The sequence below is a fragment of the Homo sapiens genome, chromosome 4, assembly GCF_000001405.40.
Source record: "Homo sapiens chromosome 4, GRCh38.p14 Primary Assembly".
NCBI classification, from domain to species: Eukaryota; Metazoa; Chordata; class Mammalia; order Primates; family Hominidae; genus Homo; species Homo sapiens.
Genome location: NC_000004.12, coordinates 86,654,973 through 86,681,511, shown reverse-complemented (window position 1 = coordinate 86,681,511; position 26,539 = coordinate 86,654,973). Strand labels below are relative to the sequence as shown.

Genomic DNA, 26,539 nt, shown 5'->3' with positions numbered 1-26,539 from the left:
GGATTGGATGATTCTTTGCAGTGGGGAGCTGCCCTGTAAATTGCAGGATATTTAGCAGGATCCGTGGCTTCTACCCATTAGATGCCAATAGTACTATCTACTCATACCCTCTCAGTTATGACAACCAAAATTGTCTCCAGATATTGTCAAATGTTCCGTAGGAGAGAAAACTGCCTCTGGTTGAAAACTACTAATTTAATCTGTATATCCTTTTCCAGAATTAGAAGTCTAACAGGAGAGAGATATAAATATATATGTATGCACCTATGTATTAAAAAAAGTAGTAAATTTGTGCTAAGGAAACTCAAGGAGACAAGAAAAGGTTATTTTGACTACAGAGGAGTTAGAAGAAACTTAAAGCAGAGGGGTATTAAGCTGAGACTTGGAACACAGACTATGTGTCCCTCTCTCTGCTCTTAATATTCTGTATAGATCTATTATCATTGTGCATATTCCCTGCACATCATCATCATCATCACCATCATCAAAATCATCATCTTTTCTTTGTCTCTCAGCCTCCTGGTCCTTTGAGAGTAAGGTCCACTCCTTATTCATCTTTGTATCTCCTTGACCTTTTATAGTGTTGGACATATTATAAGTCCTCAGTAGATGCTCCCTGAAAGAATGGATGGTACACAGGATGTGGAAACCTGAAAACAGGGAGAAAGGCATTGCCATGCAAAGAAGTGAAGCCCAGAAGCACAAGATCTGTCTAATAATCACTGGCTACAGCCTGTGCATCTAAAAAAGAGGAGTCATAAGGTAGTTGGGACCAGACTCTGGAGAGATTTTCATGTTTGGTTAAGGAATCTGTACTTCATTGGGTAAAAAAGGAGCAACTCAATGAAGGTTTTTGAGGGGAAAAGACCCTCATGATCAGGGGTATTAATCTGACAGTGGCAGAGGGAACAGTCAGGAAGCAGGAATAAGAGTTAGGAGATATGACAAAAGTCCGAGAGAAGAGAAATGAGAACTTCACCATAGTGCCAGCAATAGGGCTGAAGAGGAAAGAATTAGAAGGGCTAAACTTAGCAGACTTGAGAAATTCAGGCAATTAAGTACATATGTGAAAAGGGAGGAACCAGAGATGGAGACAGAGATAGAGATAGAGATAGATAGATAGATAGATAGATAGATAGATAGATAGATAGATAGATAGATAGAGATAGATAGAAAGGAAAATGTGACATGGAAAGATGAGAGTCAAGGAAGCTCATTAATATAAGTCCTGTAGGACAGAAATACATTTCTGTCTATACAGTTATAACATACTGGAATATAAACTCCATGCACAGAGGGATTTTGTCCCGTTTACCACTCTATCCCTAGACCTAGCACAGCATTTGACATATAATAGTGATAGTTACTATTTCTTGGATGCTTACTACATGCTGGGTACTGTCCCAAGCACTTTACAAGTATTACCTTATTTCACTTTCTAATGACCCTACAAGGTAAGTACTATTATTAACACCATATAGATAAGGCACCTAAGACATGGAGAGGTTAAGCAAATTGCCTGAGTTCATATATCCCTTAGGTGACAAAGCCAGAATTCAATCCAGAGCCCACATATGATAAATATTTGTTGAAATATAAAATGGGATAATAAAATTATCATCATTGGGAAGGCTAACAGAATACTTTCTACCTCTCGATCCATTCTCTAAAGAGGAGACGAAAAGCCTTCAAAGATTTGTCTCACTGACCACAAGAGACAGGCTGGGTGAGACACTGCAGTCTGATGTGCAGATACCTCTCATTCAGCCATCTCTGGATCTCTGTGAAGAAATATGAGCTGCTTTACATGTGCTACATAGCTCCTTTTAGCAACACAACCCTGGCACTGTGTGGCAACAAATCATAGATACCTCTGGGTTAAAAAATTATTTTTACTCATTGCCAAATATGGCATAGAGGAACTGTTCTCAAACTATGTTATGCATCAGAATCACCTGAAGGGCCTGATAAAACATAGGTGGCTGCGTCACACCTCCAGGGTATCTGATTCAATAGGTCTGGGGTAGGGCCTAAGAACTTGCTTTTCTAAAAGTTTCCCAGGTGATGGTGATGCTGCTGATTGGAGGGACCAGACTTTGAGGACCACTAGTAGAGAGCATAGGGGATACAATAATGAGGAGGACAAACAGGGTCCCTTCCATATCAAATCTTCACTGCTGTATACAAGATAAGATAATGTGACATGTGAGAAGTACACAGAGAGAACAATAGAGCATAAGAGAAAGCTTCACATCTACAGTAAAAGTTAGCCAGACAGTGAGGAGATCAGTTGAAATAGCATGAGTCTGGGTGAAAAGAGTTTTCAAAGCTGAAAGAAGAGAATGCACAAAGGTTGAGAAGAAAGAAAGTATGTGGCATATCTCAGACACTAAAGTAAATTCAGAATGCCTGAAGCACAGAGCTTGAAATAAAGACGGCTCAGACAAGGCCAATACAGTACGAACTTGAAGGCCATCCTCAGGAGTCAAGAGTTCATTCAGGGGACATGGAGAATCTGAATAATTTTAAACAGGAATAGAACAAGATTATATATGGGTTTTCAAAAATGCAGACTGTACTTTACAGAATGAACTAGCCATGGGCAAGACTGGAGTTGGGAGATTATTAGAAGTGTTTGCAGCACTGGTCATTTGTGATGGACTGAACTGAGGTGGAAGCAGTGAAAGCTAATATATGTAGACATATATGAGATATACTAAAGAGGTAGACTCAAAAGAAATTAACCGTAAGATTTAGGAAATGGGGCCAGAGGTGAATGAAAAATTAAGAATGACACCTTAGATTTTTCCTTGGAAATTGGGGAAATGATGGTCCCTTCATTTACAGGAAACACAATGGAAGGGAGAAAAGTTTCAGGGTATAAGAAGAAACATTGAGTTTAATTTCAGATCTATTGAGTCTCAGATGCCTGTGGCACATTCCAGTGAAGATATCTAATAAGTAGCTTTACATAAAAGTCAAGAGCATGGTGCTAGAGATATATACATTTGGGATCTGTCAGCAAATAGTCAATCACTTTTTAGCCCTTTAGAAAGAAGGAAGAATAAAAGCTATGATCCCTCTATCCAGAAGAATATACGAAGACACATTTTTTTTGGTATGCATGCAATTTTTAAACTTTTAATGGCCTCTTGGGCTTATTCCTTTGACCTCTGAGGGTATGATGGAACTTAGGTTAAGATCTGATATATAAAGCAATTGCACAAATTTATTTAGCCATAACTCTTTTCTTTCGGTATTTCCTAAAAGTCACCTCCAAAATTATTTTTAAAGCTCAAAACAGCAGGTTGTTATTTTCTAATTTTAAAATTAACCCTTTCCCCACAACACATTACCTTTTATATTTCATCACACTTTACATACTGAGTGTGATGGTTAGTTTATAAGATATAATAGCTTAACAATATATCTGGCAACTTATTTAACTCTAGGTTACTTACTGTAGGACTAGGAACACCAGTATCATTTATTGCAAACCAAAACATGTTCTAGTGCTCTAGGGGAGACCCACCAACTGCAAATGGCCCCAGGGATCTGCTGAAATAGAATTATTTTAGGATCCATTTTGGTGCCCTAAGTACTCTCTCATGGGGCTAAATTTCCATCTTAAGAGTTATTCCTTCAAGTTAAGATGATATACACTTAAAAACTAATAAGATGGAAATGTGTTATCTGACTAGAGCAAAACATTAAGCCATTAACACTCCAATAACATTACCAGAAATTAGTTTTTTAGCTAGTGGAACATAGTATGGTGAAGTGATATTTAAAGACCTAACTTTCTATAATGCTTTTGCACCTATTAAAACTCTAGGACTTGGCATCATCTTTCATTGTGGTTAAAAAAAAAAAAAAACCCACACAAGATTAAATTTACCGGCTGGGCACAGTGGCTCATGCCTGTAATCCCAGCACTGTGGGAGGCCGAGGCAGATGGATCACGAGGTCAAGCGATCGAGACCATCCTGGCCAACATGGTGAGACCCTGTCTCTACTAAAAATACAAAACTTAGCTGGGTGTGGTGGCATGCGCCTGTAGTCCTAGCTACTTGGGAGGCTGAGGCAGGAGAACTACTTGAACCCGGGAGGTGGAGGTTGCAGTGAGCTGAGATCGTGCCACTGCACTCCAGCCTGGTGACAGAGCTAGACTCCGTCTCAAAAAAAAAAAAAAAGACTAAATTTACCATCTATTTTTAAGTATATATTTTGTTGTTGTTGTTTTTTGAGACAGAGTCTTGCTCTGTTGCCCAGGTTGGAGTGCAGTGGCGCGATCTCCGCTCACTGCAAGCTCTGCCTCCCAGGTTCACGCCATTCTCCTGCCTCAGCCTCGCAAGTAGCTGGGACTACTGGTGCCCGCCACCATGCCTGGTTAATTTTTTGTATTTTTAGTAGAGACAGGGTTTTACCGTGTTAGCCAGGATGGTCTCGATCTCCTGACCTCGTGATCTGCCCGCTTCGGCCTTCCAAAGTGCTGGGATTACAGGCGTGAGCCACCGTGCCCGGCCATTAAGTATATATTTCAGTAGTGTTAAGCATATTTACACTGTTGTGCAACAATCTCTGGAACTTTTTCACCTTGCAAAACTAAAACTCTATACTCATTAAACACTAATTCTTCCCTCTACCCTCTCTGCCCAGTCCTTGGCAATCACCTTTCTACTTTTTGTTTCTATGATTTTGACTACTTTAGATACTTCATATGAGTGGAATCACATAGTATTTGTCCTTTGTAATTGGCTTATTTCACTTAACATAATGTCTTCCAGGTTCATCCATATTGTAGCATGTGACAAGCCTGCCTTTTACTTAAGCCTGTATGATATTCATTGTATGTATATTCCACAGTTTTTTTTATCCATTCATCTGCCAATGAACATTTGGGCTGCTTCCAGCTTTTGGCTATTGTGAATAACACTGCTATGAACATGGGTGTGCAAATATCTCTTTGAGTTCCTGCTGTGAATTATTTTGGATATATATACTCAGAAGTGGAGTTGCTGGACCATATGGTAATTCTATTTTTAATTTTTTAAGAAACCTTTATACTGCTTTCCATTGTGACTGTACAATTTTACATTCTCACCAACAACACACAAGGGTTCCAATTTCTCTGCATCCTCGCCAACAGTTGTTATATCCTGTTCTTTTGATAGTAGCCATTGTAATGGATGTGAGATAGTATCCCTACAAGCCCAACATTTAACATTTTCAATTTAATTATATGATTACATATTGGACTGTGTCACTAGACAATCCTAGAATTTCTTCTTCAGTGGCACAGGGTCCTGGCATATAACAAACATTTGTCAAATTTATGAATGAATGAAAACGGGACAGAGAATGGATTAACAAGATTTAATACAAAGTATGTACGGTATAGTGTGATTAAGGGCATTTCGTTGTTTTTTGGTCAAGTTCGGTTGAGGCTTCTGCTAAGCTTGGGTAAATAGATTTACTATTATTGTCTTTCTAAAGATGATCCTTGATTTTCAAAAAGCACAGAGAGCAATAATTCTTGATATTTAGACTACAAATTAGTGGCAATAATCAAGATTAATTTATCAGAGACATAGTACAAATCTCTGGTGCACATCAATATTTTTGAACAGAAAGCACAACAGGAACTTGATTCAAATTCCATCCCATCAAACCGATTTCAAAGGAATTGTCAAATAAGTACACCTTCTGCCAAGCAAGCAGGAAGTAGAAAATTACCCAATAAAAGAGAAAAGCCAGAGGATAAAAAGCTTAGTGTAGCCTGTATAAACCTGTCTACTCATTTAAAGGGATGTTATCTTGAAAAGTAAAGTTTTAAGGTAAATAAATGAAAATGCCTGTTTACATAGTTGATAGTAAGGGAGTTTTTTCATACAAACATGTACAGTTTATGAAAGACTTTTAAGTGTAAGTCCCTCTGAATGAAGAGAACATTGTCATGTATCAAGAGTGCTGGTCACTGAGCATTATAAAAAATTTATATGTCATCAACAGCAAGCATTTATTGAGTGCTAGTTAATAGCATATTCTTAACTCATGAAAGTAATTAAGTGCAGCTACTTTCCTCATTTTCAAAATGCCCTTGCCATTTTAAAACCAGAATACTGTGCTAGAATATATGGCTACTCTTCTGACCTTTGCTTCATGTTATGAATAGGATCAAGAAACTTGATTTTCTTTGTATTTAGAGTTACACTTAAGATTTTGAGGCATGAGGTAAGCTAGAAGTTCCAATTAGACAGACTAAGAAATCAACTTTAACATGATAATGGCAACAATCCCACACCCATTTCATCCCCAACATTGCTTCTAAACACTTGGCAAAATAATAGAGTGGCTTTAGTCATTTTCCCAAATATGTGGTCTAACAGTTATTCCTAAACATAGGGTTAACTTGTGTGGGGATCTAGACATCACAAGGCAAATTGGGAAACCTCTCAGAAAATCAGAAAAGCACTTGTGCATCCCAAATTTCTACTAAGCACTTTTTAAATTTTATTGTGGGTTTTAAATGCTTACAGAAAGAATTCATAATACCTATGCACACATACTATACCTATTTCCAATGTTCGAATCCCTTTTTAAAAATATTATTAAATGAATCGTACAATGTACAGAATGACTGCATCCTGTTTAAATAATAAAAATGAATAACTATATATGTATACTATCCAGCTTAATAAAACATTACTGGTACACTTGAATACCTTCATGATACATAACAATGACCAAGACCATATCTACTCCGTAACATACAAAAAATTCTTTTCAAATACTTCATCTTATGTAATGGGAAATTTTTTAGTCTAATGCCTTAAGCATTACCCCTACCTTATAACTACTATCTCCTTTCAATGGTTGCTTGTACCTCTCAAAATTCTTAAGTAGCTCATGGAATATCAAAGGTAGATAATCTTAAATCTGAATTCACTCTACCAATTCTTGTCAGTCTTTTTTCAGATACATAATTGATGGCTCAAATCAAGATGCCTTCCTTTAGCTTAGTCACCACACACACACTCATACACATTCAATCTCTGAAAAGAAAAATATGATTGTCAGTTTAAAGAAATTAGAATTCCTTTAGATGGCAATTAGACAATGTATATTGAAGTTTAACATGTATGTATTTTTGATTTAACAATTTTGCTATTAGGAAATTACTAGGTTAATTTTTACACTTATGTGGAATGACATATGGGAAAGAATGTTCATAGCCAATTCTGAATTCTCTGGAGTACCCCACAGTGCTAAATTACCCACAGCCTGCTATATAACACAATTACCTAATGTCTGCTATAAAACACAATATATATGCCTAAATTTTTTCATAACTTTGACAATAAAATTAGGTCTTATTCTGAAGTCAGTTATATCACTATAGTCATACTGGATACTTCTATTTTAAACCTTCACTTCTTCATTATGCCATCAAATAAATCATTATGCCATTTTCAGTTCTTTTCCACAGAGTATTAAAACTCCCTGGCCAGGCACGGCGGCTCACACTTGTAATCCCAGCACTTTGGGAGGCCGAGGCAGGCGGATCACTTGAGGTCAGGAGTTCAAGACCAGCCTAGCCAGCATGGTGAAACCCCATCTCTACTAAAAATACAAAAATTAGCGAGGTGTGCTGGCATGTGCCCGTAATCCAGCTACTTGGGAGTCTGAGGCAGGAGAATTGCTTGAACCCAGGAGGCAGAGGTTGCAGTAAGCCGAGATTATGCTACTGCACTCCAGCCTGGGCAAAGAAACGAGACTCCGTCTCAAAACAAAACAAAACAACAACAACTCCCCAATTAGAGACTCACAAAATCTTCCTTCTCCCATAGTTATCTACTTTTGTCAAATTTAACCTCCAAAATCACAAATTACATCAGTCATGCTCCTAAAAATATGATAGATCCCCACTGCCTAAGAAGAAAGCCTCAAGTTCTGGCATTCAAAAATCATCCTCCTTCTGACCTGGAGCCTTTCTTCCTTCCTTTAACCACATCCCTCTAGGTAGTAATATTCTAGCCTAGCCAGTCTAACCAACCATTCCCCAATCACAGTGGACAATTTCTTACCTCTTGTCATTACCCATACCAATTACTCTGAGTAGAATGCCCTTTCTACCTATTTTTATTTATCTGAAGTCTATTCATTCTTCATAGCCTAACACAAATAGCTACCTCTTCTCTGTGATATCATTCTACACTAAAAATTAATTGCTCATCTTGTACATTCTCAAAATACTATCACTCTCCATAGCATTTATTTCATCCTGCCATATATTAGAGATCGGGGTCCCCAACCCCCACCTCCAGCCCCATACCAGTCCCATGGCCTATTAGGAAGCAGGCTGCACAGCAGGAAGTGAGCAGTAGGCAAGTGAACGTTACCACCTGAGCTCTGCCTCCTGTCAGATCAATGTTGGCATTAGATTCTCATAGGAATGCGAATCCTATTATGAACTGCACATGTGAGGGACTGAGGCTGCATGCTTCTTATGAGAATCTAATGCCTGATGATCTGAGTGGAACAGTTTCTTGCTAAAACCATTCCCCCACCACCCCATCCTTGGAAAAACTGTCTTCCATGAAACCAGTCCCTGGTGCCAAAAAGGATGAGGATTGCTGTTACAGATTGTTCTGTACATGTTAATCAGGGTCAACTTTCCAGTTATTTCTATATCTTCCTCAGGCACGGTGTTTTATACAAAGCAGGTATTTAATAAGTATTTGTAAACATGTGCTTCTAATGGTTAATTTTTTTCATATATTTCTCAGATCCATAAATCTTTATAAAACTATTTTGGATTCTTAAATAAAATAACTGAACTTCTTGGAATACACGGTCATTTAAAACTCAATAGATTTTTCAGAGGGTTGAAACATGGTAGCCCATTGTCTTTATTTGACCTATCCCCACCCAAATAAAAAAACAAACAAAAAAATTTAACAGTTACCTTTTCAACATCTGAGAGAGAAGTTAGTGACTGATTTTGAAGAACCTCTGGTGCAGTGAATGCTCGAAGATCCTGATTGGAAATATTTTCATCTGTAAATGACACACTACCAGATGGCAGCAACAGCAGAGACCATGGAGAAATGATGAAGCCAAGGGCAGCAGGATCAGCTAGGCTTACTGGTTTGTAATTGCACCAAAATAAAAAATAAAAAAAAAGAAGAAAATTGCTTAAAATTATAATCACAGGAAACAGCAATCACTTCAATGGATAATGCAGCCTATTTGTATAGATGTTAATAAGTAGTTAACATATACCAAATCAACATGCTACAAAAAGATTGGGTTTCATACAAATACAACAGGTAGCATTATTAACAACAATGCCTTGATTTGGCTTAATCTTTCAAAATCTGGATGGTAGATCCTAGAAACTAGAAATAGAGCCCTTTCATTGTTCTTAAGAATTAAACTTGGTTCAAATGTTTTATCAACGTGACATATAGATATGGATAAGGATTAGTAGCTCTTTAATGTTTTTTGAATTATGCATTCCTTTAAGAAATTGGTGAAAGGTGTGGTTTCTCTCTCAAGGACATTGCCCATAAATATAAAGCTCTGTATAAATTCTGAAGTTTTATGGATCTACTTATAACCCATTTATAGATCCCAAGTTAAGATTCCGATTTAGACTATAGTGTTCTGAAATGGATAGAAATCAATTCCTTTGAAAATTCCTGTTAGGCATTCACAAGGTTTCTAACTACAATGAAATGTCTTGAGTCGAAGTATATATTTTGCTTGAATTTAGATTTTATCTTATTTACATTTGTTCATTATTTCACTAGCATTTCAGGCAGCTTGTTTTGTACTACCAAATGTGATCAATGAGGTCCCTTAACTTTTTGTTTTAATGCTTGGCTGTATAGATGCCTAAGAGCTCATACCTAAGAGTATTAACACAAATACATTCCCTAGACACCAGTAGGCCTCCACCTAGAAGTAAAGCTGTACATTAGGCTCAACAAAACAGACTGATTAGAATAAACTTTATTTTGTCCCTCATATAAAAAGTAAGTTAATACAGGTTTTAAGAAAACTGCTAGGTGAACTTGGTTATAGACTCAAGATAATAGCTATAGAAAAATCACAAAAGGCCTATGACTGAAATTCCATTATTCAATCTGAATAAATTATACTGATATCACTCTGTCAAATGATAAGACATTGACAGAAGTTCATGGAAAAGTTTATCATACAGTATCTATACTTTCCTGAAAACAACCAGAACTGAATTTTTTTTAAATCAGGACTGAATCATTCTGACTTTTTAACTTCTACCTATCATCTACATGATCAGAATATGACTTATGATTAAAAAGTAAACTACTAAAAGTCATTCCTCCTTTGAAGGTCAAAAACCTGCATGTTTATGAATCTGAGACATGTCTTTAATAATGGTGTCAAAGAAGAAAAATGTGTTTGAATGCAACTTTTAATCAGTCAGCACATCTTAGGTTGCACTGAAGTGGTGTTATAGACCAATGGTCCTCAAAGCCTTAACCAATCATACATCAGACTTCTGAAACTTGGCTCACAATTGTTATTGCCAAATACATTTCAATGAATCATTTCAATGAATCATCACAGCTCATAATCTTAGGTATATGTTGTCGTATTTTACAGTCACTATACAAGTTTTCTGTTAAAAGCCGCCTCTTAGTTATTTCATACACAGACAACACACAATCTAGCTGGAAAAGAACTGACAAAGCAAAACAATATTTCCCTTGCAAAAAGATACCATTCAAAACCATGAGATTTCATGTCACAGATATCACAAAACAATCTAAAATCAATTTCTGTCAAATTATCAACTAAGGGGAACAAACACTAGGAGACCAATTAGGAAGACAACGCACTAATAATCTGGTGTGAGATGATGATGGCCAATAAGCACAGTGGTGGCAATAGAGGTGGTGAGAACCTGCTGGTAACTGAAGATATTTCAGAGGTAGTGACAACAGAATTTCCTGACAGACTGGATGTGGAGTGACAGAAAAAGAGGACTCTGGATGACATCAAAGTTTTGATCTGAGTAATTAAAAGGACAGAGTGCCATCAACAGAGATTGTCTAAAATAGTGCAGGCTGCTGAGGTGGGGGTTAGGAGGTGGTGGCAGGAATTAGAACTTTGGAACCTATTACATTTAAGATATCTGTTATACATTTGAATGGGGATGTCAATTAGGCAATTTGATCTGAAATGTGGGATAAAGATCACAACTGCAGATATATTTTGGGAGTTGCTGGCCTACTAGATGGTATTTAAAGCCATGTGACTTGATGAGGTCACCAAAAAAAAAAAAAAAAAGAATTAAGATAGAAAAGAAATGAAGACCAAGGACTGAGCCCTAGGGTACTCAAACACAAAGACTGCGCCTTCTCGGTTTTTTATTTTTTTCCAGATTCTTCCTCTTCTCTTGGGGACTGATGCATGTATGGTGCTGTAACATCCCTCTAACACTTCTTTCGCTCACTACTGCCAATCTCCATCCCACTATTTTAATTAATTCTACTTACTAGACTTTCTGTCCAGTTCTCCAGTACCTAAGTCCCGAATCTAAGTTAGGAAGCTGGGATTCTAACTGTCATGGCTAATTCCAGATTGTCTTTCTTTTGGAGGCAAAATTATGATTTTGAGTGTAACTGTTACCATTTCAAATTTATAAATGATTGCGGATCACAGCTAACACAGAGGCCTGAATGCCACCTAGAAGCCTAAATGCTATGCCCTGTCCCTGTCCTGTCACTGTGGATTCTGGTATCCACCCAGACCAGAAAAGGCTTGCTACATTCTTCCTTTTCATCCCTGGATACAGACTGACCCTCTCCCCTCCTCAGCATGGTAGCACCAATCAGAACTGCTGAAGGTGAAAGCAATTCATAATTCCTTATCACTCTAAAATGTAGAGATTTATTCACTTACCAGGACAACCAAGGTCAGTAAACTGATAATTACTCTGTTAAGAACTATATGTATCTCTCCTTTTTTATTAAGTTGTATTTTGTTTTTAATGGACATATAATCATACTTATTTATAGCGTACAGTGTAATGTTTTGGTACATATGTACAATGTGTAATGATGAAACTATATATTTCAACTTTTATACAATATGTTGTTTGCTTTTATTGAACATTTAAAGTATATCTTTATTTTAAGCACTATATATATATATATATATATATATATATATACATCTTCTTCCCAACATTACAGGTCATTTGCTAATAGAGTCTAAAGTATTATTGGGGAGATAATACATACATAAATACAAGATAGAAAGTATTAGGTATCTAAGAAAAAAAAGAGTTTGGAGGATAGCCAAATTACTTCAACTACAATAAAGAATTAATTTCTTATTTTATATGTGGCCCTTTAATAGGTAAGACTTGACCATGGCTAAGGTTAGGATTCAAAAAAGAAGAAACGGCCAAAGCAAAGGCATGTGGGTCAGGAAGTTACTAAGTTTGTACAAGGAACAGCAAGAATTTTGGGCAGAGAAATGGTGAAGAGCAGTGAGAAACAGAATTACCAAGGAGGATCATACTTTTGCTTGTTAAAAAAATACAGACAGGCTGGGCGCAGTGGCTCATGCCTGTAATCCCAGCACTTTGGGAGGCTGAGGTGGGCAGATCACCTGAGGTCAGGGGTTCAAGACCAGCCTGGCCAACATAGAGAAACCCCGTCTCTACTAAAAAAAAAAAAAAAAAAAAAAAATTAGCTGGGCGTGGTGGTGGGTACCTGTAATCCCAGGTACTCGGGAGGCTGAGGCAGGAGAATCACTTGAACCTGGGAGGCAGAGGTTGCAGTAAGCCAAGATCACACCACTGCACTCCAGCCTGGGTGACAGAGTGAGACTCTGTCTCAAGAAAAAAAGAAAAGAAAGAAAACAAAAATGAGAAATTACACAAATATTTTCAAATGTGATTTTTTAAATGGCTTGTAATAAAGTTAAAGAAACCGTGACAACAAACTACATTGCTGTCAAATTCCGTAAACACACACATGACATTTACGTACTGGATTCTTGAGAAAACATAGTCAAACCACAGAAAATATTTTAAAATAATTTTAAAGGGTTATGCAAACCTGCAAGTGAGGGAATTTAGAGTTGTGGCTAGAATCAGTCTTTAATTCACTCATCTTGTCTAACTAAAAGGAAGAAATTTAAAGCAAATGTATTTAAAATCCTTCAAAAAAATGCTAACAAAAGAATATTTAAAAATGAGATTCTAGAAGCTTATAATTCCGTGTACTGTGTTTTAATTGTGTGTTGACTGCATTCAAGAATGCTATTATGAAAGAGTAAATCTGATATGAATTGATTCCAGTAGTCTAATGATTATATTTATAGATTTTACCAACATTCCACAGAAAAGTTGCTAAACATAATTTCAAGCAGCTAGAGGCAAGGTTAAGGATAAGCAGAAATTTGATATGCAAACACCTTAGAGCTTCTTTCCAATGTTCTTTTAAACTAAGATCATTTTATGTTCATCCATTTTTTTCCCTGAGGGTTCTTGCCATTTCCTTTAGATTGTCCCCTTATTTTTCATCTTCCACACATACTATTAAAAATTAGGGAAATAATCTTAACTAGGCAACAAACATGGTAAGGAAACACTAATCAAAAGTATCAGGAAACCATTTTGAGACTTAGAACAACAATGACATGATTTTGATCTGAAAAATCCCTTTGCATATTCAGGCACAAGAAATTGTAGTCTTCCTATTTTATACGTTCTATTAGGGTGTCTGGCAAAAATGTATGCAGAGGCCGCTGTTCCAAACTCTGAAGGATTTGACAAAGTCCCTCTATAATATGGAATTCCCTAAAAAATTCAGTCCATATGTTCATAACAATACATACATTGTTAAATCAATAATCTGGTATAACAATGCACAAATAGAAAATAAATGGTTCAGAATAGTTCCCCTACATTTTAACATTTTCTTGATAGTTTTGTCATAAATTATTTAAGGTTCACTGGAAATTGTAGTATATGCTAGAAGTTGATTACAAAATAAAGCTGTATTAATTCCTCAAAAGTTTTGTTACTACTTAAAAAAAAAACTTGTTTCTCTGATACCATAAAGGATAAAACAGCAATCCCTTATTGAAAATAAAATTGTGTAAATGATTGAAATTGATATCTACAATAATGTAAATTGATAATCATAGTCTCTTTAAAGACATTTTACATTTAAGTTTTCTTGGTATAGATAATCATGCAACATCATTTACTAAACTCCTATGAACTTTTGGTTCTCAAGAATTTATATTCTGGTGGTAGTTGGTCAGATCTTGCTAATCATCCAAATCCCTAAACTCACCTAGAAGATTTGGAAAGATACTGATATAGGAGTTTAAAAAGAATTATTTAGGCAGATAGTGAGAGTAAGGAAGTCCTCAGTAAGGTATTCCTTTAATGAAAAGCAGTACCAAAATCATTTTCTTTTCTAACAGAGAGTAGCCCGTACAATTGAGCTGCAGACGGACAAGCAAGCTGGAAGCTTGCATAGGTGAATACTGGCAGCTGTGCCAATAGGAAAAGGTTACCTGGGACTAGGCATGTTCAAAATGGCGGCTCCATCTTCCCTTCTCTTTGCCAGCCACCTGTACAGCAAGTAGCAGACAACATGGTGCCAGCCAAGTGGAAAGTCCATTTGCATAATAAGATTAGGGCGGGGTGGCCACCCTTTACCACGTGCTATGTAAACATCACACCTGGTCCAGCCAATCTGTGGGTCCTATGTAAATCAGATATCGCCTCCTCAAGCCTGCCTACAAAATTTGGTACACTCCCATTCTGGGCTGAAATTCCAATTCGGGAGTCTCTTTTTCTTCTCTCTCTCTAGAAAAAAAGAAAATGTTTTTGTAACCCTGTTTTCACATATTTCTCCTAGAATAAAAGTGGTTTAAGGATACAAATTATAATTTCCCTAAAGATCAGGTACAATGCCATTATAATTAATTGAAATATTTGCAAAAATTAGTTTCCCATTTTAAGTCTATACCACAGGTCCACAACCTTTTTAAGCTGCTCTTCTAAAGAGAGAGAGAGAAGAGAGAGAAGAGAGAGAAGAGAGAGCTGTTCTTTCTCTTTCCTTTGCCTATTAAAACCTCTGTTCCTAAACTCACTCCTTATGTGTGTCCCTGTCCTTAATGCAAGTCTACGAACCTCGGGTATTTACCCCAGACAATGACGCTGCTTCAATATCAGAGAAACTTGTCAGCTTCATTTCATTCTTTTTATAGTAGCTGACTTCAGTAATTTAGTATGTAGTCTCATTTTACTGAGAGACAGTATAGTGTAAGCCAGAATCCCTGGGTTCAAATCCCAAGTTTGATATTTATGGTTTATACAGTGATCTTCAGTGAGTTATTTAGCCCCTCTGTGCCTGCATTTCCTTATTTATAAAAATCATTGTTACATCATAGGTAAGGCTGCTGTGAGGATTAAAGAAAAAAACAAAAACCAAAACTAAAGACTTAGAACGGTTCCTGGCATACAGCAGTAAGTGCCATATAAAAGTGGTGACTATTATTATCTAATAAACCTTTTCTCAGAGATACCAGATGTAGACTACATGTCTAAGAAAAGTCACTCCTTGAATTTTTCCTCAATCACCTACTTAGCATTTTCCCCCCACAGAAGACAAAGAGCATATCATCCATGACAAGTACTGTAGTTCCAGAATAATAGATCTAATTCTCAAACCGTTCTATTCTAGATCTTTGGGAAATTTTTTGGCATCTTTTACGTAGAAAAAAATATTAGAAATACAAATGATTTAAGGTACAAAGTATCCTAAAATATCAATTTGTTCTTTAATTAATTTCTTGGGGAATATCCTTTTTGTAAGTAGTCTATTTATTACTTATTACATGATATTCCTAGTTAGCACAGATCCTCAACTTAGAACAATTGCTTTAAGATTTGACGATCAAACCAATTAGTACTTATTGAGTAACTACATTTGTCAAATTGGTGTTTTACTATACATAGTCATTAACTTTAGGTAAAACATGACTTATTAAATGAAGACATTTATTTGAATGCACATGATCAGTACAGTATCAGCATATAGTTTTAGAAATTTTTATTTGTAATACAAGTTGCAATATTCTAATAACATGAAATCATGCAAACATGTTACTCCAAATTGGTCTGTTTTATGAATAGGAGATAAAAGATATTTTTATTTCTTAATGATGACATTAGCCACACAAACACACACATTTTCTCTCTTTTTAAAATGACTAAACACATGCAAGCTGCTTGCTCAAACCACAACCACTGGAATGCTGGTATGGCTACTGATCAATTAGGCTTCCAGTAGTTGTGTTTTGTTATGTACTTCCAGAACTATGCTACTTGGCAACAAAACACTAATGAAACAAGTGATATACAGACAATCTATATTAGTAAAACCAAATTGGTTATTATTAAAAGTAACAAGGCTTAAGTGATGGGACAACGTGGATAGAGGGAAGCAGGTCTCTTGATTTCTTGGCCACTATATTAGTAAAACCAAATTGGTTATTATTAAAAGTAACAAGGCTTAAGTGATGGGACAACGTGGATAGAGGGAAGCAGGTCTCTTGATTTCTTGGCCACCTGATTCAAGTAGCATGAAAGAAATAGTAGCAGTTCCTTTCATTCCTCCTTCCTAATAATGTGCTGAGGAGCTGCTCACTTTATTCCTTTGAAATACTATGTTCTTCCTCTTTGATTTGCCTTTCACTTCCACCTTTTCCACCAACTGCTTTATGCTTACCATCAATAAAAACTGTATCTCCCAAAATTACATGCCAAAATACTGAAAAAAAGTTTTTGTAACTCTGTTTTCACATATTTCTTCTACAATAAAAGTGGTTTAAGGATACAAACTATAATTTCTCTAAAGATCAGGTACAATGCCATTAGAATTATCTAATTGAAATATTTGCAAGAAAAAGAATTTGTTTCCCATTTAAAATCTATACCACAGGTCCACAACCTTTTAAAGTTGCCTTTCTGCCCTGCTTGAGAATAACTTACTAATTTAGACTTTGCTGACCACACACACACAAAAATTTTGAAGTTCCACTATCAAGAAAAGCAAAGTTTTCTTTCAACTTTCAGATACCAGAAACTGTATAAATTATTCACCCAGAAAATACTCTTGATCTTTATTCTCTAATCTCTTTTAGTTACATTTTCAAGTATGATTTAAGATAAGAGTCAGCTTGGCTTATTTGAATACTGAAACAAACTTATTTACAATGTCTGACTTTGGGAGTTTAAGGTAATTAAGAAATTACGCAGGCTTTCTGTTTCCTGATCCACTGAGGACTTTGGTGTGAATTCTGGAGACAGAGTACAGGAATCTACACAGTATTTTTAAAAAGTTTCCTGGAGATTCCAATATGTGTACCAACCTATCCTACACACAAATGAAAACCACTGCTCTCATTAGGGACATTAAAATGGTATCACTAATTAAGTTGCTTCTTGATCTTGTACTTGCTCCAATTATATGTCAATTAACTGGTATTAAGTACATAAAATGAGGTATGTATGACTTTATATCCTTTCCTGATGCTTTTTGTTTGTTTTACAGCTTACAAAGCTGTAAGTAAGGCATTTTACAGGAGATACAGCTAGCCAAAAAGTGTTACAAGTAACTATTTTATCCAAATTATAATTACATTATTTTATTAGAAAGGCAGAATAACTATCAGTAATTTCCAACTACAAATGAGACCTAAATAGCTCTTCTCTATTTATAATATGGAAGCTGATTAAAGAGCACCAATTTGAGACTGCCACTGACATTTAGAAATAAATTGCCTTATCCACTGATGGGGTTCAGAACATGCTGCCCCATAATTATGGCACCTTGGTATTTGAGAAAACCACGGAAGCAGGAAGGTCACTCTCTGACCTTCTCCCACCCTTTTCCTCTGAAATAGGTCATAAGACCTTCATTCAAGAGGTGCCCTTTGTATAGCTGGAGGAAAGAAACATCCTCATCTCTGAAGACACAGGGACGCAAAGAAGAATCTGATCAAAAAGGCCTTGCTAAGTTTCCCCCAGTTTATTACCATTAGATCACACTTTGTTATCCAATTATACTCTCAACTTCATCCACTTCTCCATCAAACAGTGCAAACCCCCCCATGGGTTTAATTGTACCTTCGGGTTTTCAATTCCAAAGGCTCTTGTGTTATACAAAACTTATATACCATAAATTTGTATGCTTTTCTCTTGTTAATCTGTCTTTTATTATAGGGGCCTCAGCCATGAACCTAGCAATGGGTAAGAAAGAGATACTTCTTTTCCCCTACACCACTTAATTAAACATTAATTTCATTTGGCTTTTTCTATCTCATTCCCAAAGTAAAGCAAACTACAAATGAACTTCCTAAGCATTTTGTTTCTTCTGTAACACTTTCTATATTTACTCATTTATTTTTAAGAGTTGGGGTCTCACTCTGTCACCCAGGCTGGAGAGCAGTGGTGCAATCATAGCTGGCTGCATCCTCAAACTTCTGGGCTCAAGCAATCCTCCTGCTTCTGCTTCCAAGTAGCTGTAGTAAGTGCCTGTTATCCAACACGTTCTATAAACCAATATCCATAACGTATGAGGTGAGCACCTTTAATCTCTCACCCTGTCTGATATACAAATGCATTATTAGGCATATAACCAGTACCTCAAGGTCATGGAATTAATATCAATTTTTTATTTTCCTGAAGAGTATCCAAACTTTGAGAGCAAAACTACTCTATGTATGTGTAATATTTTAGCTGCAGACTTCTAAACGACAGTTTGCTTAAAAGTGGTTTCTTTTTAAAAATATAACAGCTGGGCACGGTGGCTCATGCCTGTAATCCCAGCACTTTGGGAGGCCGAGGCAGGTGGATCATGAGGTCAAGAGATGGAGACCATCCTGGCCAGCATGGCAAAATCCCATCTCTACTAAAATTATAAAAATTAGCTGGGCGTGGTGGTGCGTGCTTATAGTTCCAGGTATTTGGGAGGCTGAGGCAGGAGAATCACTTGAACTTGGGAGGCGGGGGTTACAGTGAGCCGAGATTGCACCACCACACTCCAGCCTGGTGACAGAGTGAGACTCCGTCTCAAATAAATAAATAAGAAATAAATAAGAAATAAAAATATAACAATCATATCTTATTTGACCACCCTATTAAAGCAGCTATAAAAATGTTAACCATGAATGGTAAATTCTATTTAAAAACTTGATCTTATTGTTAGCTTAACAATTTTGTCAAAGCAATTTTGGAATGATGTGCTAAGCCTTTTAAAATGCTAGCATTTCTGTTGCCACCTAGCAATTTCATTAAGCCTCTGTAGATTTTACAGCTGCCACATTACATTTTGCCAGACAAAATAAACTACAACAGAGATAATTACCAGTAAAAAAAAGTTTTACAGTAAAGGACTTTTATAAAGCAGCAGGTTTTAAATTTTTTTTTATTTTTGCAAGTGCAGACAAAGTTTCAAGTTAAAAGAGATCTTTTTTCTTCCATCTCTGCAATCTGCATAAATCTTGGGGTTGGGGGTGTAAGAGGAGCAGACACAAAATTTAAAGAATAAACTCAGTGATTTCATTTTACTTTCAAGGGCCTGAAATTTACACAAAGACAGAAACACCTATAATATCAAAGATGATGACTGGCATTGATTTCATTTTTGGAGAATTGGATGAAAAGGTCAATGAGGAATAGTGTATATTTTTAGCTTCCAGAGGAAAATACATATATCTTTGCAGAGCGGAACTGGCTTTGACTTGTGATGACATGGTTCCATGTAAACATGATCTGTAGGAACTCATGAAAAATATTTTTCTGATCACTAATGCCATTCTCTGCTGCTATTGACATAACTCCCTCACCCCTCTCTGCCTTGCCACTTACCTTGTAAAGACATTTTCCTTCTCAAAAAGAAAAGGAGGAAGGAAGATTATTTGAATGGTAAACTATTCAATTTTTTTAAAATAGTATACATTTCTTATAAAAATGCTAACTATGACTGACACACATCACCCCAAGAAAGTAAAATTTTAACTTGTTACTAAATGATACAAGGTGTAAAGCTCTTTTTTAATTTCTATATTGGAGAAAAGATATTGAGAAATACTTGTAAAATGTTTTCTGTAAAAGCCTTAGTCACAAAATCTGAATGTCTCACAGAATGTTGAGTAAAAGAAGTCAGACACCCAAGAGTTTACATTGTATGATTCTATTTTTATGATGTCCAAAACCAGGCAAATATTATCTGTGTGATATGTCATAGCAGTGATTACCCTTGGTAAACAAGAATTGACTAGGAGGGAACATGAGGGAGACTTCTAGGTGCTGAAATGCTCTGAATCTGGGTGGTAATTGTATGAGTGCATACATTCATAAAATTAATCAGGCTGTACAATTAAGAATAATGCTGTTTGCAATATATGTTATACCTCAACAATAATAAAGTCTCTGTTAAGTATAAAAATTTAAACAATAAATATAGTGAGTAAAAGTAACATTTATCACCAAGGATAGGACTAGAGAAGATGAACTGTAGCAACTCTCCTATCTAACTGCATGGCTATTTAAATATATAAAACTGGCTGTTTAGAACATCTGAAGTCAAAATAGTTTTAAATTAAAACACAGTGTATTGACTGTGTTTGTGGGGAAGGGGTAGTTTGCTACAAGTGTGTCATATACTTATCAAATAACCTACATTATTCATATTAAGCATGTTATATATTAAATTTAATTTTGTATTTTATAGTTTGTTTCCAGGGAACAAATGCGTAATTTCACACAGTTCAAACACATTTAACTTAAGGACATGTTAATTCTGGAGTTACGAATGCAGGGCAAGATGTAGCATGTCAAAGACAACTAATACACCCTCTTAATCAACAAAATTATGGCTATAGATAAAAAGGAATATAATAATTAAGGCACTAGTTAGAATTTGATCTTTTAAAAGCTGCATACCCTGTACAAAGATTTACTTTAAAACTTTTAATCCATAAAAACTTTCTATATTTCCTATAAAGTCTTTTTTTTAAAAAAAAACCTCAGGAATTCAATTTGAAGTTCATGCTTTGGCTCTCTTCTTATGCTTTAATCGTGTTACTTATTCTCCTTTGTTTCTACCAGATGGGAAGTTTTACACTTTCTTTTTTATTTTGTGATTATTGCTAAAAACTTTAAGGATATTTGAACTATGCAAACTCTAAGGCAAATTATTGCTATTCTCATAAACAGATCGACCCTTAGACTGCTTTAACTCCTATCACCGACATCAGTCTCACATACTACTGTTTTACTTATAATTTTAAATTTGAGATGATTGCTGTTGATGTTTTATACAGCCATTGATTGCTTAGATTGATCATCAAGTTGACTGATTATTTTGCTTATTGTTCCTTCTTGAACCTTTTACTTCCTTCTGGGTTATATTTCCTTCTTCTTGAAATACATAAGTACTCACAGTTTTCATATGAAAATGTTTTGTTTTGACCTTAATCTTGAACCAAAGTTTAGAAAGACATCAAATTCTATCTGTACATTCCAATGCAGTGGCTATCAGGCACGTGTGGCTTTTAAGTTTTTTTCTTTTTTTTTTTTCTGTTGTTGTTGTGGTTGTAGTTTGAGACTTTGAGTCTTACTCTGTCACCCAGGCTGGAGTGCGGTGTCACCATCTCGGCTCACCGCAACCTCTGCCTCCCAGGTTCAAGTAATTCTCCTGCTTCAGCCTCCTGAGTAGCTGGGACTACAGGCGTGCACCACCATGCCCAGCTAATTTTTGTATTTTTAGTAGAGACGGGGTTTCACCATGTTGGCCAGGCTGGTCTTGAACTCCTGACATCAAGTGATCCGTCCACCTTGGCCTCCCAAAGTGCTGGGATTACAGGTGTGAGCCACTACACCTGGTCACTTTTAAAAATTTGAAATGTGGCTTCAGAAACTGAGGAATTGAGTTTTTAATTTATTTAAAATTTAATTTCAGATGAATACTTAATCAGATATTGGAAAACTTCTAAGTATGCTTGTAACAACTTAGGTATGTAAATTACTTTTTCATCTGTATTTTTTATGAAATATAAATATTTTTGATAAAATTTAGAGTCTGAATTGGCATATGTTATGAGTGTTAGATTTTGATGACTTAGTACAAATAAAGTGTACAACATATTATTAACACTTTTTCATACTGGTTACATATGAAAATGATATTTTTAGTATATTGGATTAAATAAAATACAGAAATCAATTTCATCTATCTCTTTTCATCCTTCTAATGCAGGTCATAGAGAACATTAAATTATATATGATGTTTATGATATTTCTATTAGACAATGTTATTCTAGGTTGTTATAGTGATAATATTTTCTCTTTTTCCTTAAAATAATTATGATGTATCCTCACAGCAGTTTTAAGATTTTATTTCTTAGTGAAATTAAGTAGTTTTAAGAATTTATTTAATTCTACCAAATTCTGACCTTATTTTTACTGTTCAGTCTGCTCTTAGCTAATTCCTTTTTCTTTGTAGATAATTCAGCTTTCTTTTTCTCTCTGACTGCTTTAAAAACCTTCTCCTTGTTTATGGTGTCCTGTATTTCCAATCCCATTAATCTACGTGTAGAATTTTTTTTAAAATTTTGACTGTGCCTTAAGCTTCTAGAATTTGAAGATCTATATATTTTATCAGCTCTCAAAAATTATCAACTATTATATCTTCATTAATTGTTCTGTTTCCTATCCTCTTGGTTTTCCTTCTGGAACTCAGAGGTATGTTGGACCTTCTCATTGAATGCTTCATAAACCTAAACTCTCTCATATTTTTAGTATTAGGGTGATCTCTTCAGCACTATTTTCTATTTTACTAATTTTCTCTTTGAAAAGAAAACAGAAGTTTTTAAAAATAACCAGGAAGTAGGAGACAGAGCAAGATGGCCAGATAGAACCCTGAGCAATAATCCCCCATCAGGAACACTAAATTGAACAACCATCCATGCAAGAAAGCATCTTCATAAGAACAAAAAGATCAGGTGAGTGATAAAAGTACCTATGTTCAAACCAGGTACTTTTTATCAAGGAAAGAGGCATTCAAGAATGTAGGAGAGACAGTCTTGCATTGACTACAGCAATCCCAGGCAGTGCATTGAGGAGACAGAGTCTATGTGCATGGAGGAGAGAGTGAAGTTAGTGGGGGACTTTACAATGGAGCTCAGTGCTGCTCTGTCATAGCAGAACACAACACAGGTAGGAATTCCGTCAATGCCTATGGAGGGAGCATTCAGACTACCAGTGGGCCACAGGGGAATCCCCAACTCCAGCGAGAAGAACCCAGTTTCAGGCCAGTGGGGCTTCCCCACCAGCTGACTAAAGTGGCCTGGATCACAGAATAAATTTGAGTGGCAGTCAGGCCACAAGGACTGCAGTCCTCAGGCAAACGCTGGTGCTGCACTAGTCTCAGAGGCAGTGGACTTGGAATGCAACCCAGGGCAAAACCAACTGTGGCAGCTAAGGGAGTGCCTGTATCACCCCTCCCCAGTTCCAGGCAGTGCAGCTCTTGGGGAGACATCTTCTATGTGGAGGATGGAGTGGGAAGAGCACAGAGGACTTTGTCTTGCAACTTGGGCACCAGCTTAGCAGATTCCCGAAGCCCCCAATTCCAAGTCTTTGCTCCTAGATGGTGTTTCTAGACCCATTCTGGGCCAGAAGAAAATGCACTGTCCTGATGGAAGAGACTCAGTCCCAGCAGGATTCACCACCTGCTGACTAAAGTGGTCATGGTCCTTGAATAAACATCAGCAGCAGCTAGGCGGTAGTGGCTACCAGTACTGGTGAACTCCAGTACTGTGCTGGTCTGCAAGCCTTCAGGTGAGACTCTGTAGTGTCAGCTGTGGTGATCACAGGAAAGTCTGTGTCACCTCTCCCTCAACTCCAGGCAGCCTAGTACAGAGAGAGGTTCCTTCTGACTGGGGAAAAGAGAGAAAAGAGAGCAAGTGACTTTGCCTGCTAACCTAGGGAATCTTCCTTATCTTATCCAAGTTCACCAAGGCAGTGTATTTAGGGGTCTGCAAGAGTTGCAGTGAGGGCAGTTCCAAGATGGCCGAATAGGAACAGCTCCAGTCTATAGCTCCCAGCGTGAGCGACGCAGAAAATGCAGAGACATTTCCAACTGAGGTACCGGGATCATCTCACTGGGGCTTGTCAGACAGTGGGTGCAGGACAGTGGGTGCAGCCCACCGAGCATGAGCCGAAGCAGGACGAGGCATCACCTTACCCAGGGAAGTGCAAGGGGTCGGGGAATTCCCTTTCCTAGCCAAGGGAAGCTGTGACAGATGGCACCTGGAAAATTGGGTCACTCCCACCCTAATACTGCACTTTTCCAACGGTCTTAGCAAACGGCACACCAAGAGATAATATCCTGCTCCTGGCTTGGAGGCTCCCACGCCCACAGAGCCTCGCTCACTGCTAGCACAGCAGTCTGAGATCAAACTGCAAGGCGGCAGCGAGGCTCGGGGATGGGCGCCTGCCATTGCTGAGGCTTGAGTAGGTAAACAAAGCAGCCAGGAAGCTCGAACTGAGTGGAGCCCACCCCAGCTCAAGGAGGCCTGCCTGCCTCTGTAGACTCCACCTCTGGGGGCAGGGCATAGCCAAACAAAAGGCAGCAGAAACCTTTGCAGACTTAAATGTCCCTGTCTGACAGCTTTGAAGAGAGCAGTGGTTCTCCCAGCATGGAGTTTCAGATCTGAGAACAGACAGACTGCCTCCTCAAGTGGGTCCCTGACCCCCGAGTAGCCTAACTGGGAGGCACCCTCCAGTAGGGGCAGACTGACACCTCACACAGCCGGGTACTCCTCTCAGACAAAGCTTCCAGAGGAACGATCAGGCAGCAACATTTGCTGTTCTGCAGCCTCTGCTGCTGATACCCTGGCAAACAGGGTCTGGAGTGGACTTCCAGCAAACTCCAACAGACCTGCAGCTGAGGGTCCTCACTGTTAGAAGGAAAACTAACAAACAGAAAGGACATCCACACCAAAACCCCATCTGTACGTCACCATCATCAAAGACCAAAGGTAGATAAAACCAGAAAGATGGGGATAAAACAAAGCAGAAAAGCTGAAAATTCTAAAAACCAGAGGGCCTCTCCCACTCCAAAGGAGCACAGCTCCTTGCCAGAAACGCAACAAAGCTGGATGGAGAATGACTTTGACGAGTTGGGAGAAGAAGGCTTCAGATGATCAAACTTCTCTGAGCTAAAGGAGGAAGTTGGAACTCATCGCAAAGAAGCTAAAAACCTTGAAAAAAGATTAGACAAATGGCTAACTAGAATAACCAGTGTAGAGAAGTCCTTAAATGACCTGAAGGAGCTGAAAACCATGGCACAAGAACTACGTGATGCATGCACAAGCTTCAGTAGCCGATTAGATCAACTGGAAGAAAGGGTATCAGTGACTGAAGATCAAATAAATGAAAAGAAGCGAGAAGAGAAGTTTAGAGAAAAAAGAGTAAAAAGAAACTAACAAAGCCTCCAAGAAATATGGAACTATGTCAAAAGACCAAATCTACGTCTGATTGGTGTACCTGAAAGTGATGGGGAGAATGGAACCAAGTTGGAAAACACTCTGCAGGATATTATCCAGGAGAACTTCCCCAACCTAGCAAGGCAGGCCAACGTTCAAATTCAGGAAATACAGAGAATGCCACAAAGATACTCCTCGAGAAGAACAACTCCAAGACACATAATTGTCAGATTCACCAAAGTTGAAATGAAGGAAAAAATGTTAAGGGCAGCCAGAGAGAAAGGTCGGGTTACCCTCAAAGGGAAGCCCATCAGACTAACAGCTGATCTCTCAGCAGAAACTCTACACGCCAGAAGAGAGTGGGGGCCAATATTCAACATTCTTAAAGAAAAGAATTTTCAACCCAGAATTTCATATCCAGCCAAACTAAGCTTCATAAGTGAAGGAGAAATAAAATCCTTTACAGACAAGCAAATGCAGAGAGATTTTGTCACCACCAAGCCTGCCCTAAAAGAGCTCCTGAAAGAAGCACTAAACATGGAAAAGAACAACCGGTACCAGCCACTGCAAAAACATGCCAAATTGTAAAGACCATCGATGCTAGGAAGAAACTGCATCAACTAACGAGCAAAATAACTAGCTAACATCATAATGACAGGATCAAATTCACACATAACAATATTAACCTTAAATGTAAATGGGCTAAATACTCAAATTAAAAGACACAGACTGGCAAATTGGATAAAGAATCAAGACCCATCAGTGTGCTGTATTCAGGAGACCCATCTCATGTGCAGAGACACACATGGGCTCAAAATAAAGGGACGCAGGAAGATCTACCAAGCAAATGGAAAACAAAAAAAGGCAGGGGTTGCAATCCTAGTCTCTGATAAAACAGACTTTAAACCAACAAAGATCAAAAGAGACAAAGAAGGCCATTACATAATGTTGAAGGGATCAA

General features: G+C 37.3%; 1 protein-coding gene across 24 annotated transcripts in view, besides 1 other annotated feature; it reads right to left on the bottom strand.

The window, feature by feature from the left end:
* Positions 1-26,539, bottom strand: part of PTPN13 (protein tyrosine phosphatase non-receptor type 13) — a 220,847-nt gene that overhangs the window by 133,650 nt on the left and 60,658 nt on the right. For all 24 annotated transcript variants that reach the window (XM_011532165.3, NM_080685.3, XM_017008511.3 and 21 more), the window contains one exon: positions 8,969-9,147. In XM_011532165.3, coding sequence (XP_011530467.1) covers positions 8,969-9,147 — 179 coding nt within the window. The remainder of the gene's footprint in view (positions 1-8,968; positions 9,148-26,539) is intronic.
* Positions 23,376-23,465: a silencer, noted in NCBI's record as "silent region_15548". NCBI's record gives its function as "represses an Ori minimal core promoter by ATAC-STARR-seq in GM12878 lymphoblastoid cells {active_cell/tissue: GM12878}" and the evidence as "EXISTENCE:reporter gene assay evidence [ECO:0000049][PMID:35858748]".